The sequence below is a fragment of the Homo sapiens genome, chromosome 20 (assembly GCF_000001405.40).
Source record: "Homo sapiens chromosome 20, GRCh38.p14 Primary Assembly".
Classification (NCBI taxonomy): domain Eukaryota; kingdom Metazoa; phylum Chordata; class Mammalia; order Primates; family Hominidae; genus Homo; species Homo sapiens.
The window spans coordinates 43749134-43761907 of NC_000020.11; the positions used below are offsets into that span (position 1 = coordinate 43749134).

Here is a 12774-nt window from a genome sequence, read left to right on the forward strand (position 1 = left end):
GCAGGTCTCAATATTCTGACCTCAAGTGATCCGCCCACCTCGGCCTCCCAAAGTGCTGGGATTTACAGGCGTGAGCCACTGTGCCTGGCTATCCTAATTTTTATAACGCTAATTTCTTTGCTGTTCTTTATAGTTTCACCACTTAGGAAAGCCCTTGTTTGTTTTGTTTGTAAAATGACAGTCTTTTTATTTATGAAAATCTTGGTAATCCTGGTTTTGTTTTCATCCCCTCCCCACCATGTCCCCTCCTCTCCCCCAGCCCACCATTTATGGCAAGTGAAATCCACCTCTGTTTACTGTGGGTATTCATTTCTCTCTTAACATGAATTATAATACATAAATACGTTTATTAAAAATTTTTTTTTGAGACAGGGTCTCGCTCTGTTGCCCAAGTTGAAGTGCAGTGGGTGATCATAGCTCCCTGCAGCCTCCAACTCTTGGGCTCAAGCGATCCATCCTCCTGCCTCAGCCTTCTGAATAGCTGGGACTACAGGAGACAGCCACCACCACACCCGGCAATTCAGAGAAAAATTAAGTAAAGAATAGCATGTATAAATGAGATGGGCAAGATGATGAAGGTGGTACCCAAAGAACTGAAGTTTGGGAAACGTTGATTATCTTCCATTTATGAAGAAAAAAAAAGTCTTGGGGAGGTCTCTGGAGGGTCAGGGACTGGAATCCAGGTGCGCTGACCTAGGCCGACGTGGGCCACCGGGACACCACAGCCCTTGGGGCGCCGGCGGCCGGTGTTCCTTCAGGGAGCCCAGAGGCTGCAGTGCCGCTATGCACCACCAGAGGGCAGCACGGCCCCGGCTTGCGGCTCCCGGCCACTTCCCACGCGGGCGGCTGGGGTGGCGCTGGGCGGCTCTCCCTGGGGATTCGGGTTTGCCTGGACTCATCTTAGTCCAGAGATCCTCAAACGAGCTCTGGGACACACTCCCTTCTAAATTACCTGGGTGCTTGTTAACAGTGTAGAGTTTGGGGCCTTCCTGGACCTACAGAATCAGCATCCCTGAAGCTCCAGGTGTGTGGCGTGGGAGCTAGGGGGTTTGGACAGTGGGGTGCTGGTCAGGGGAGTTTTGAGAACACTGCTCCAGGGAGGTGGGCACTGTCTCCCAGGGTCAGAGTTTGGGGGTGATGTGTGTGTGTGTGCGGAGGATTATCACACACACCGAGAGGGATTGCCGGTCGGAAGCCTGGGCTTGCATTTGGGCCCACCTCTTACTTGGATGGGTGGCAAATTCTTCGTTAAGCATTTTGCATCTACGCACCCTCCATTTGACCACCCATCCATCCATCATCCATAAATATATGATAACTAAACCCTTACCATGTGTCCCTTCTGTGTGTGGAGATATAGTGGTGAGCAACACAGACAGCGTCCCTGCCCTCCTAGAATTCATGCCTGTGTGGAGGAGCCAGATAGCAGCAAATAATCCCTCAAATATAAAATTACATGTTAGGCTGAGCGCAGTGGCTCACACTTGTAATTGCAACACTTTGGGAGGCCAAGGTGGGAGGGTTGCTTGAGGCCAGGAGTTCAAGACCAGCCTGGGCGATATAGCAAGACCCCATCTTTACAAAAAATTTAAAATAAAATTACAATTTATAGGAGCTGCCTTGAAGGAGGAGGGATTCATAGGGTGCTGTGTGGATGAAAAGAGCTCTAGGAACCTGAGGATGTGAAGGATTCTTCCCTTAGGAAATTATGCTTGAATTGAGATCTGAGGGTGAGAAGGAGTGAACCAGGTGGAGTCAGAGGGAAGAGTGTTTCAGACAGAGGAAACTCATGTGCAAAGGCCCTGAGGTGGAAATGAGCTCACTGCCTTGGCAGAAGAGTGTGGTTGGAGCAGGAAGGAAGAGAGGGACTGGCTAGACCTGGGGTGTGGGCAGTAGACAAGGACCAGTACCCTCAGGTTCTCAAATTTCCCATCTTCAAATGGGGCAACAAGAGAACCATCTATCTTGCAAAGAGGATAACATGTAATGATGAGCCCAAAGCATCTAATGTAGTGCCTGGTACACAGTTGGTGTCAATATTGGGGGTGGGGGTGGATCTGGGCAGAGGGTACAGCCTGGTTAGAGAGCTGTGGGGAAGCACTGGGCAACTGCGGGGACCAGAGCTGTCTTGGCCACCTGCAGGGACCAGCTGAGAAGTGTGTTTAACCACAGTGAACATTACCGTTGGCATCGCTGTCTTGTTGAAAACAAAGTGAAATTGGAGAACATACTGTTGTCTTGAACTAGGCCAAGATGACTAATTATTAGACTCACTTTTGAAAGGTTACCATATACAGACATGCGCTGAGGTGGAGAGAGGAGAGTTTGGAAATCTGATTCATTCTGAAACCCCAATAGATGGAACTCTTGCTCAGTTTCTGAGCATAATGACTGTGAACATTCGGTTTAACGCAGCTGTCACCACAGGCAAGGTGCAAAACAAAATGTTTCGTACCAGCTCCTTGGAGTGTCATGGGGCAGCTCATGGCAGCCCTGGGGAGATCTCTGCTAGATGGTGAAGGGTGTGCAACGTGGGTGCTGGTGTTGGGGAATTGAGGGGACGCCAGACCTCAAATCTGGGATCTGAGTCTGAGGGATGGCTTTGCCACAAGTGGACCATGTGGCTTAGGTTAACTTCCTCCTTTCTTTGGGCCTTAGTTTCCTCATCTGGAAAATGAAGGGCTAGACCAGATGCTCTCCAAGAACTTCTCTAGTTTTGTTGTTCTATGGCCTTTGCTGGTGGTGTGACTTTGGATGTTACCTTCAGCTCCTGGGTTTTAGTTTCCTTTTGAGCATTTTAGAGTTCCCCAAGAGTGTTGGTTTATTTCACTCCCCATTTGCTGCCCCCACCAATGAAGTCTAGCGACTCGAAATCTCCTTCTCCAGACTCCACTGAGAACAAACCACCCTAGTTCCTTGCCCTGTGGGTCAGTGGTTTAATCTGGGGATGCGTGAGTCCCTTGGTCCTGTCTGGAGATGCATAAATCCACTGTGGCCCGATGTGGGGATTCCAAGTCCTTGAGGTCTAATCTGGGGATGCATGTGGTCCAGTACTCACAGACCCAAGGGGGCCTGAAGGCACCTGGACCCTTCAGGAAGTCCTGTCTCTGGGACTTACAAGGGAACATTCGTGAAGCTGGTATCAGGGCTGAACGTGGATTGGGGCTTTCTGAGGGCCAAGTGCAGGCACTCATTTCCTTCTCACATTATTCCCACCTCTGAGGGGCAGAGGGTCTAAGTAATTTTCCCAAGGCCACACAGGGAGCAAGGGGCAGAGGTGGCATGTGTGCCCAAGCCTGTTTGATTCAAACTGTCGTTAACTTTGGAAACTGACCCCACCATCTCATTTATTTCTCACAACAAATACATCCATTAACAGGTATCAAGGCTTAGAGGCTTCATAGCAAAACAGAGTGGAGACCTGGTAGGTAAGCAGGCAGCTTCCAGATTTCTCCACCCAGCCCCCACTTCCTGGCCAGGAACTGGAGGCAGGGAAGTTCCATTGCCCATATAGCTGCATGACTTTTCATTTGCCCGTTCCTGTGGTCAGACTCAGTGGTGTGAGACTTCCTGTGGTTGAGCCGAGTGATGCAAGAACGTCGCTGTGCAGGGCTGTGGTCCTACACCGTCCACTTTATTGGTTGTCTAAGACATCTTCAATGGTAAAATGGGAAAGGCATAGTTTTTGTCCTGAACGTTGTCCTTACACCTAAGCCAGACTTGATCAGATGCCACATGGGGCGTATCCTCCTGAGCATCCCACGTCTACCGCCTGCCTTGGATGTCTGACATCAAGTATGTAAGTGCTTGTGTCTGGACCTGAACTTCACTCCAAATAGCGGGGTTGGCTACAGGTCAGTTACCCATGTGAGATTATAGTGCCCTGACTGGTTATTCTTTTTTTTTCTTTTCTTTTCTTAAGACAGGGTCTAGCTCGGTTGCCCAGGCTGCCGTGCAGTGGTGTGATTGCTCTGCCTCCTGGGCTCAAGCCATCCCCCCACCTCAGCCTCCTGAGTAGCTTGAACTACAGGCATGCACCACTGTGCCAGCTAACTTTTGCATTTTAGTAGGGATGGGGTTTTGCTATGTTGGCCAGGCTGGTCTTGAACTCATGGCCTCAAGTGATCCACCCACCTTGGCCTCCCAAAGTGATGAGATTACAGGCGTGAGCCACTGTGCCTGGCCACCTGACTGGTTATTCTTATCAAGATGAGAACAGAACTGAAATTGAACATAAGCCACCATTAATTATCATCAGTAATGTATTTAAGAATATAAGGCATAATTTTAAGTTACACTAAAATAAATATAAATGGCTTGACACAAGTAAACGTTCTTGCTCAACCCTTGATACCCTCTAGGGATGGATCTGAAGATCCATCCCCTAGACACATGAATATGATTTTTCAAATCATTATTATTACAGTTTTATAGAGACAGGGTCTTACTCTGTTGCCTAGGCTGGAGTACAGTGGTGTGACCACGGCTTACTCCTGGGCTCGAACTCCTGGGCTCCAGAGATCCTCTGTATTCATCTGTTCTCGCACTGCTGTAAAGAAATACCTGAGACTGGGTAATTTATAAAGAAAAGAGGTTTAATTGCCACATGATTCTGCAGGCAATACAGATGCTGGCATCTGCTTGGCTTCTGAGGAGGCCTCAGAAAGCTTCCAGTCATGGTAGAAGGTGAAGGAGAAGCACACGCATCGCATGGCCAGAGTAGGAGTGAGTGGAAAATGGGGCACTGCTACACACTCTTTTTTTTTTTTTTTTTTGAGGCAGAGTCTTGCTCTGTCACCCAGGCTGGAGTGCAGTGGCGTGATCTCAGCTCACTGCAAGTTCCGCCTCCTGGGTTCACGCCATTCTCCTGCCTCAGCCTCCCAAGTAGCTGGGACTACAGGCGCACACCACCACGCCCGGCTAATTTTTTGTATTTTTGTAGTAGAGACGGGGTTTCACCGTGTTAGCCAGGATGTTCTTGATCTCCTGACCTCGTGATCTGCTTGCCTGGGCCTCCCAAAGTGCTGGGATTACAGGCGTGAGCCACCGCACCCGGCCTGCTACACATTTTTAAACAACCAGATCTTGCAATAACTCACTCACTCACACAACAATAACAGTACCAAGGGGATGTCGTTAAACCATTTGTGAAGGACCACCCTCATGATCTAGTCACCTCCCACCAGGCCCCACCTCCAACCCCAGGGATTACAATTCAACATGCTATTTAGGCGGGGACACAGATCCAAACAATATCTTCCTCTCACGTAGCTGGGACTAGAGGTGTGCGCCACCAAGCTCGGCCTCTGGTTTTTCAAATGATATCCCAAATCGGAGCTCCTCTCACCACTTCCACTTTGCCACTTTTATTCAAGCCACTAGCCAACAACGTGGGTTATGACAGAAACAGAAGCCTCCGCGCTCCTTTCCTCCTCCAAACTTGCTCACCTTGTAGGTGACTCTCTATGCTGCGGGATCTGTTAAGGCTTGAGTCAGATGGCAAAGTCTCTGCTCGAGGCCCTCCGATGGTTTCCCTTCCACCAGGAGTCAAAGCCCAAGTTCTTACCAGGGCCTCCGTGACCTCACTGGGTCTGCCCTGGTTCTTCTCTGGGCTCATCTCCTGCTGTTCTGCTTTTGCTCACTTCGTTCCAGCCTCTCTGGCCTCCGCGCTATTCCTTCAGGCACATTTCTGCTGTGTGGCTTTTGCACTTGCTTTTCCCTCTACCTGGAGAGCTCTTGCCCCAGATACCCATGAGTCTCCCTCTCTCCCCTCCTTCCGGTTTCTGCTCCATTCTCTCCATCCCAGAGAGGCTCTTCTTGACCACTCTACCTAAAATATCAGCTTCCTGCAATAAAATATCAACTTCCTTCACTCTTTATTCTTTTTCCCTCTTAATTTTATTATATCTCCTCCTGACATGTATTTGTTGATTCTTTCCCCACTAGAATATAAGCTCCACAAAAGCCGCATCTCTGCTCCTCTCCCTGCTACATCCTTAGAGTCAAGCCTAGTGCCTGACCACATCAGTGACATTGGTTGAATTGAATGAAGGATCAATAAAGGAATAAACTGAGGTTGGGCACGGTGGCTCACGCCTGTAACCCCAGCACTTTGGGAGGCCGAGTCAGGTGGATCACCTGAGGTCAGGAGTTTGAGACCAGCCTGAACAATACGGTGAAACCTCGTCTCTACTAAAAATACAAAAATTAGCTGGGCATAGTGGGGCACGCCTGTAATACCAGGTACTCGGGAGGCTGAGATGGGAAAATTGCTTGAACTCGGGCGGTGGAGCTTGCAGTGAACCAAGATCGTACCACTGCACTCCAGCCTGGGCAACAGAGTGAGACTCCATCTCAAAAGGAATAAACGGAGCTTTCTATGGTAAGTATCTTTGCTCATGGCAGGAGCCTCACTGACAGTTTCCTGAGTCACACTTTCCGGTTTCTGTGTTGCGTGTACATTGAAGGCATTCCAATGGTGGATCTGAGCCTCAGGATAATTGGATATCGCTTTTCAGTATGTAGTTCCACATCATCATTTTTTTGGATGCCTTTAATCTTTCTTCACTTCTTCTTCTGTCCCATCACCAACATGAGCAGTTGGATTTATTTTAGGGCCCTTTCTCACAAAAAGCAAAGTTTCATCACTTTGTGGGAGTAGCTGGGGACACATAGGACCAAGAGAGAGGAGCAGAACCATGCTGAGAGGCCCTGGCGGTGGCTGCCTCTCTCGCTGGCTAAGGGACTCAGCTTCAGCACCTGCCCCCAGTTCTGCAGTGCACGATTTGAACCCATCCCTCAGTGAAATAACGAATGATCCCAATCATAGTCCTTGAGGACAGCTTACAAGTGATTCATGGTGAACTCAAGAATGCCAAGGAATCTTGTGGGTTTATTTGCTCCATCTCTGCTTTAACCTCGATGTCCTCCCGGCTCCAGTGGCTCCGTCATGTTCTCAACTTTGTGTACTCATGGTTCTAGAATCCCAACCCCTGGATTCCTGTCTAAGGCTCAGTCTCTTGCTAGGAGGAAAGACATCTTATCAGATGTTAGGTGTGAGATGTCGGAGGCTGTGTTTGGTCTCCCAGCATTCTTGTGAGCGAAGGGCTTTTAGCCACATTCTCCCTATCGCTTGATTTCTCTCTCACTTTGTGGGAAAGTAGACAGCAGGACCATCACCCCAGTTCAGGATTGAAAACTCAGATGTTTAACTTTGCAGACTCATGATGGGTTTCTCTCCTTGGCATGTGGTCTCCTTTATTTGAGCTGTATGTGTTGAGGACCTACTGTGTGCACTAGGGCACTCCATGGGTATGGGGAGGAGCAAGACAGAACCCTTGTCCCTCAAGACTGGAATCCAGAAAAGGGTGGGGATAAGTGTGGCAACAGCTCTGGGGTAGGAAGAGGGACATGGGTAAGAGAGAGGAGAGAGCTGTGACTCCAGCTGCAGTGGGGTCAGGGAAGGACTTACTGTTTTCATAAAAATAGCACAGATGAAGGCTGGGCATAGTGGTGGCTCATGCTTGTAATCCCAGTACTTTCGGAGGCCAAGGTGGGTGGATTGCTTGAGACAGGAGTTCAAGACCAGCCTGGACAACATGGCAAAACCCCATCTCTACAAAAAAAAAAAAAAAAAAAACAACCCAAACAAAAAAATTAGCTAGGCATGGTAGAACTCACCGGTTGTCCCAGCTACCCAGGAGGCTGAGGTGGGAGGATCACTTGAGCCCAAGTGGCAGAGGTTGCAGTGAGCCGAGATCGCACCACTGCACTCCAGCCTGAGCAACAGAGCCAGACTCTGTCTCAAAAAAAAAAAAAAAAAAAAAAAAAGCTCAGATGCCTTGAAAGGCAAAACATTTAGAAAAGCTACAATAGATAAAACAAAGGACATCCCAGGTTTCCTCCCTGCAAAACCATCATTCAAGCTATGTTTCTATGTGGAGTCTCTAGATGGAGAGATAGACAGGCCTACTTTTATAAAATGGGATACTTTTGAAAGTAAAAGTTATTAGAGGTAATTTTACTTAACATAAACAGAAGACAAGGAAACAAAACCAAAGGAATCTGAATCTTAAATAAATATTACATTATCACCAATGGAATTGGTTCCTAAAAGATCCCTCTAAGTTTTTTTTTTTTTTCTTTTTTTGAGATGGAGTTTCACTATTTTTGCCCAGGCTGGAGTGCAATGGTGCGATCTCAGCTCACTGCAACTTCTGCCTCCCGGGTTCAAGTGATTCTTCTGCTTCAGCCTACCGAGTAGTTGGGATTACAGGTGCATACCACCATGCCCAGCTAATTTTTGTATTTTTAGTAGAGACGGGGTTTCCCCATGTTGGCCAGGCTGGTCTTGAACTCCTGACCTCCAGTGATCCACCTGCCTTGGCCTCCCAAAGTGCTGGGATTACAGGCATGAGCCATCATGCCTGGTCAAGATCCCTCTAAATTTAACAAGAGATTAGGAAAAACATTGCGATTGGAGTTACATAGTTTTTTCAAATCTTTGTATTTTATTATAAGCACAATTAACAATGGTATTCTTCTCAGATAAAATACTTAAATTAATCCAATGATAGGATTTTTGAGAGTAATGTGAATTTGTTCATCATTAAATCAGAAGACAGGCATATTCTATGAAAAGTCTGTAACCAAGTTTTCCATTTGTATTAGTCCATTTTCATGCTGCTGATAAAAACATACCTGAGACTGTGCAATTTACAAAAAAAATAAAAATAAAAAAAGGTTTAATGGACTCACAGTTCCATGTGGCTGGGGAGGCCTCACAATCATGGCAGAAGGTGAAAGGCAGATCTCACATGGTGGCAGACAAGAGAACAGAAATTGTGCAGGGAAACTCCCCGTTATAAAACCATCAGATCTTATGAGACTTATTCACTATCATGAGACTAGCACGGGAAAGACTCACTCCGATGATTCAATTACCTCCTACCAGGTCCCTCCCACAACACATGGGAATTATGGGAGCTATGATTCAAGATGAGATTTGGGTGGGGACGCAGCCAAACCATATCACCATTCCTGTCCTTTTCTCGTGCACCCTTCACAGATGTGCGCACTTAGTGCTCTGAGTTCTGAATAAGCTTAGCCATGTGTCCATCAAGATGTGGAGTGGCTCCATCATCCCCAACAGTCTCTGCCCCTGATGGGCTCCTCCTTCCTCACTTGGACCCTGGCAATCACTGATCTGCCTTCTGTACCTGTAGATTTGCCTTTTCCAGAGAATCACATAATTAGAAGATAATCTGTATCAGTCCATTCTCACACTGCTATAAACATACTACCCGAAGGCTGGGCACCTGTAATCCCAGCACTTTGGGAAGCCAAGGCAGGTGGATCATGAGGTCAGGAGTTTGAGACCAGTCTGACCAACATGGTGAAACCCCATCTCTACTATAAATACAAAAATTAGCTGGGTGTGATGGTGCGCTCCTGTAATCCCAGCTACACAGGAGGCTGAGGCAGGAGAATCGCTTGAACCTGGGAGGCGGAGGTTGCAGTTAGCCAAGATCACGCCACTGCACTCCAGCCTGGGTGACAGAGTGAGACTCTGTCTCAAAAAAAAAAAAGATACTACCTGAGACTGGGTAATTTATAAACAAAAGAGTTTTAATAGACTCACAGTTCTGCATGGCAGGGGAGCCCGTAGAAACTTACAATCATGGCAGAAGGTGAAGGGGAAGCAATGTAAATCTTAATTCTAATGTTTTCATCACAGTATCTCATGCCTATTATTGGCTGTGTGTGGTGTTCCTTTTCAAGTCTCTGGCTTCAACGTCTGCAGGGAGTAAATTTCCCACCTGCTGGGGGTGGGGAGCACCATTACCTGACTATGCAGGCTCATAAAAGTGGGTCTGGGTTCTAAATGCTCATCAAACAGACTCTCAGCCACTTCTGTTTTCAGCCGCTCTTGCACCCCACCTTTCAGAGGGATTCTGGTTGATGCAGAGTTTTGTGGCTCAAATAGATTTTCTGTTCTCAGGTTCTTCACCCTGCAGGCACACATAGGACTTAACTTTCTCTCATTTGCTGGGCCAATTACCAATCATTCATTCACTTTTTAATCTTCCAAATTTTGATGACATCTTTTTTTTTTTTTTTTTTGAGTCAGAGTCTTGCTCTGTTGCCAGGCTGGAGTGTAGTGGCACAATCTCGGCTCAGCACAACCTCCGCCTCCCAGGTTCAAGCAATTCTCCTGCCTCAGCCTCTCGAGTAGCTGGGACTATAGGTGTGCACCAACATGACCAGCTAATATTTGTATTTTTAGTAGAGATGGGATTTCACCCTGTTGGCCAGGCTGGTCTGGAACTCCTGACCTCAAGTGATCCATCTGCCGCGGCCTCCCAAAGTGCTGGGATTACAGGTGTGAGCCACCACACCTGGCTCTGATTGCTTTCATATCTTTGTTTTTCTTAATATCTATTATCTGTCTATTCATAATTCCATTTTCAGCAGGGTCTCTTCTGATTTTGACATTTATCATTAATTTGGGACTTCTGTAATGTTATTTGATTTCAATTTGTTTCCTTAGGTCTCTCTTTTGTGTGTCATTCTGTTGTTTAATCAACTGATCTTTGAAAGTTTGTTTTACCAAATTCCTGTTCTTGTTCTGTCGTTTTATAGCAGAGAGCACCTATGTGAAGTTTTCTTCCAGTTTTGGGGTTATATCTCCTTCTAGGCTGGATTCTTTGTCTTTTGGGTGCTTTTTTTCTTGGGGGTTTTGGTGGGAGTGTGTGTGCATAGTTTCCATCAGTTTCTTACTTGTGTGTGGGCATTTCTGTTCAAATATTCTTTTTGCTGTTATACAGTGTGAACTTGGACTCATTTCTCAGTGTGTCTGAGATAGATTTTGCCATAGTTTGAGGTCCAGATATTTTTTGTTCTTAACATTTTTCCTTTAGCCTGGGATCATGGTGGGATGAGGGGTAGGAAAGTGGAAAAGCATATTGGGGCAGTGCATATTTCTGGAAGAAATATGTTCTCACTTCTGAGGGTGTGAAAATGTGCTAGGATTGCACTTCCCTGGGGAGAAAGATAGCTTCCCTTTAGAATGTGGGATAGTCAGCTGGGCATGGTAGCACACACCTGTAATCCCAGCTACTTGGGAGGCTGAGGCGGGAAGGTTGCTTGAGCCCCAGGAATTTGAGGCTGCAGTGAGTTGTGATTGTGCCACTGCTCTCCATCCTGGATGACAGAGCAAGGCCTTGTCCCTTAAAACACAAAAACTCAGACGCGGGGTGATGGCTCACGCCTGTAATCCCAGCACAGTGGGAGGCTGAGGCGGGAGGATCACTTGAGGTCAGGAGTTTGAGACCATCCTGGCCAAAACGGTGAAACCCCATCTCTATTAAAAATACAAAAATTAGCTGGGCATGGTGGTGGGCACCTGTAGTCCCAGCTACTCAGGAGGCTGAGGCATGAGAATCACTTGAACCCAGGAGGCAGAGGTTGCAGTGATTCAAGATGGTGCCACTGCACTCTAGCCTGGGCAACAGAGTGAGACTGCGTCTCAAAAACAAAAACCAAAACCAGAACGCAGGATATTTAATACTCATTGCCCCAGCCTTGTTGGGGAGGGGCACAATAAGAAAAATCCCATCTGGCATCCTGAAACAAATCAGTATTGGGGTGAGCCCAGTGGGGCAGCTGATGGCTGAGTCAGGCTGGTGCGATGGAAGGAGCTGTGAGGGCCCCGTAGCTTGGAGCATCCCTGGTCCCCTTAGCAGCCATCATAAGACGGAGCAGGCAGGGCTGTAGTTGGACAGCCCAGTCAGGAAATGCCAGCCATGAATGAGTGCCCCATGGCTGCCTTGGGAATGTGTGCCAGGATTGGAATCCTGCAGTTGAGGATCTGAAATGTTCTGACCAGGTGGCTAAAGAGTATGACTTCAGGCCGGGCGTGGTGGCTCACATCTGTAATTCCAGCACTTTGGGAGGCTGAAGCGGGTGGATCACCTGAGGTCAAGAGTTTGAGACCAGCCTGGCCAACATGGTGAAACCCCGTCTCTACTAAAAATACAAAAATTAGCCAGGCACGGTGGTGCACGCCTGTAGTCCCAGCTACATGGGAGGCTGATGCAGGAGAATGGCTTGAACCCAGGAGACGGAGGTTGCAGTGAGCCAAGATTGTGCCATTGCACTCCAGCCTGGATGACAAGAGCAAAACTCCTTCTCAAAAAAAAAAAACAAAACAAAACTGTGACTTCATAATAAGGTCATGTTGCTAGGGACCACGTATTGACGTTTCTAGGGAGAAATGAGAAGGAATACAGCAACCGAATAAGACGATGTTCGTTTATGACATCCATGATGTCTTTCAAGGCTTGAGATACACTGTCTTTTGTCTAATTAGTCATTGTGACCATATCTCCATGGAGACCATTATGTTTGTACTCACAATAGACACGTGTGCATCCATTAAAGGAACACAGTTGCCAAACGTACGCTCTGGGCCCAGGGTGGAGTGGCTTTTTACAGCACAGTCATCGGAGCTGCTGCAAAAAGTGTCAGAAAACAAGCAAGGAGCTGTCCTTATTCATGAAGAGAGGCTCTCTCTGGTATCAGGCCCTGGGTCTAGGGGAGTGTGAAACCCAGGAAGGCGGGGTGCACACGCTCATGACAAAAGTTCCAAAGGCGTAGATTCACTCTCTTTTTTTTTTTTTTCAAATGTGTGCCAAAGATTTTTAAGCTCATTAATTAATGAAGGGACCAGTAAGATGTTAAAAACTGGCTCAGGAGAGAATGCAGAGAACAGAC

General features: G+C 47.4%; 1 long non-coding RNA gene across 1 annotated transcript in view, besides 4 other annotated features; it reads left to right on the forward strand.

The window, feature by feature from the left end:
- Positions 1-12774, forward strand: part of LOC101927200 (uncharacterized) — a 91977-nt gene that overhangs the window by 20215 nt on the left and 58988 nt on the right. The window lies entirely within an intron of this gene.
- Positions 731-890: a silencer, noted in NCBI's record as "silent region_12930". NCBI's record gives its function as "represses an Ori minimal core promoter by ATAC-STARR-seq in GM12878 lymphoblastoid cells {active_cell/tissue: GM12878}" and the evidence as "EXISTENCE:reporter gene assay evidence [ECO:0000049][PMID:35858748]".
- Positions 2330-2529: an enhancer, noted in NCBI's record as "active region_17910". NCBI's record gives its function as "activates an Ori minimal core promoter by ATAC-STARR-seq in GM12878 lymphoblastoid cells {active_cell/tissue: GM12878}" and the evidence as "EXISTENCE:reporter gene assay evidence [ECO:0000049][PMID:35858748]".
- Positions 2720-2789: an enhancer, noted in NCBI's record as "active region_17911". NCBI's record gives its function as "activates an Ori minimal core promoter by ATAC-STARR-seq in GM12878 lymphoblastoid cells {active_cell/tissue: GM12878}" and the evidence as "EXISTENCE:reporter gene assay evidence [ECO:0000049][PMID:35858748]".
- Positions 3290-3369: an enhancer, noted in NCBI's record as "active region_17912". NCBI's record gives its function as "activates an Ori minimal core promoter by ATAC-STARR-seq in GM12878 lymphoblastoid cells {active_cell/tissue: GM12878}" and the evidence as "EXISTENCE:reporter gene assay evidence [ECO:0000049][PMID:35858748]".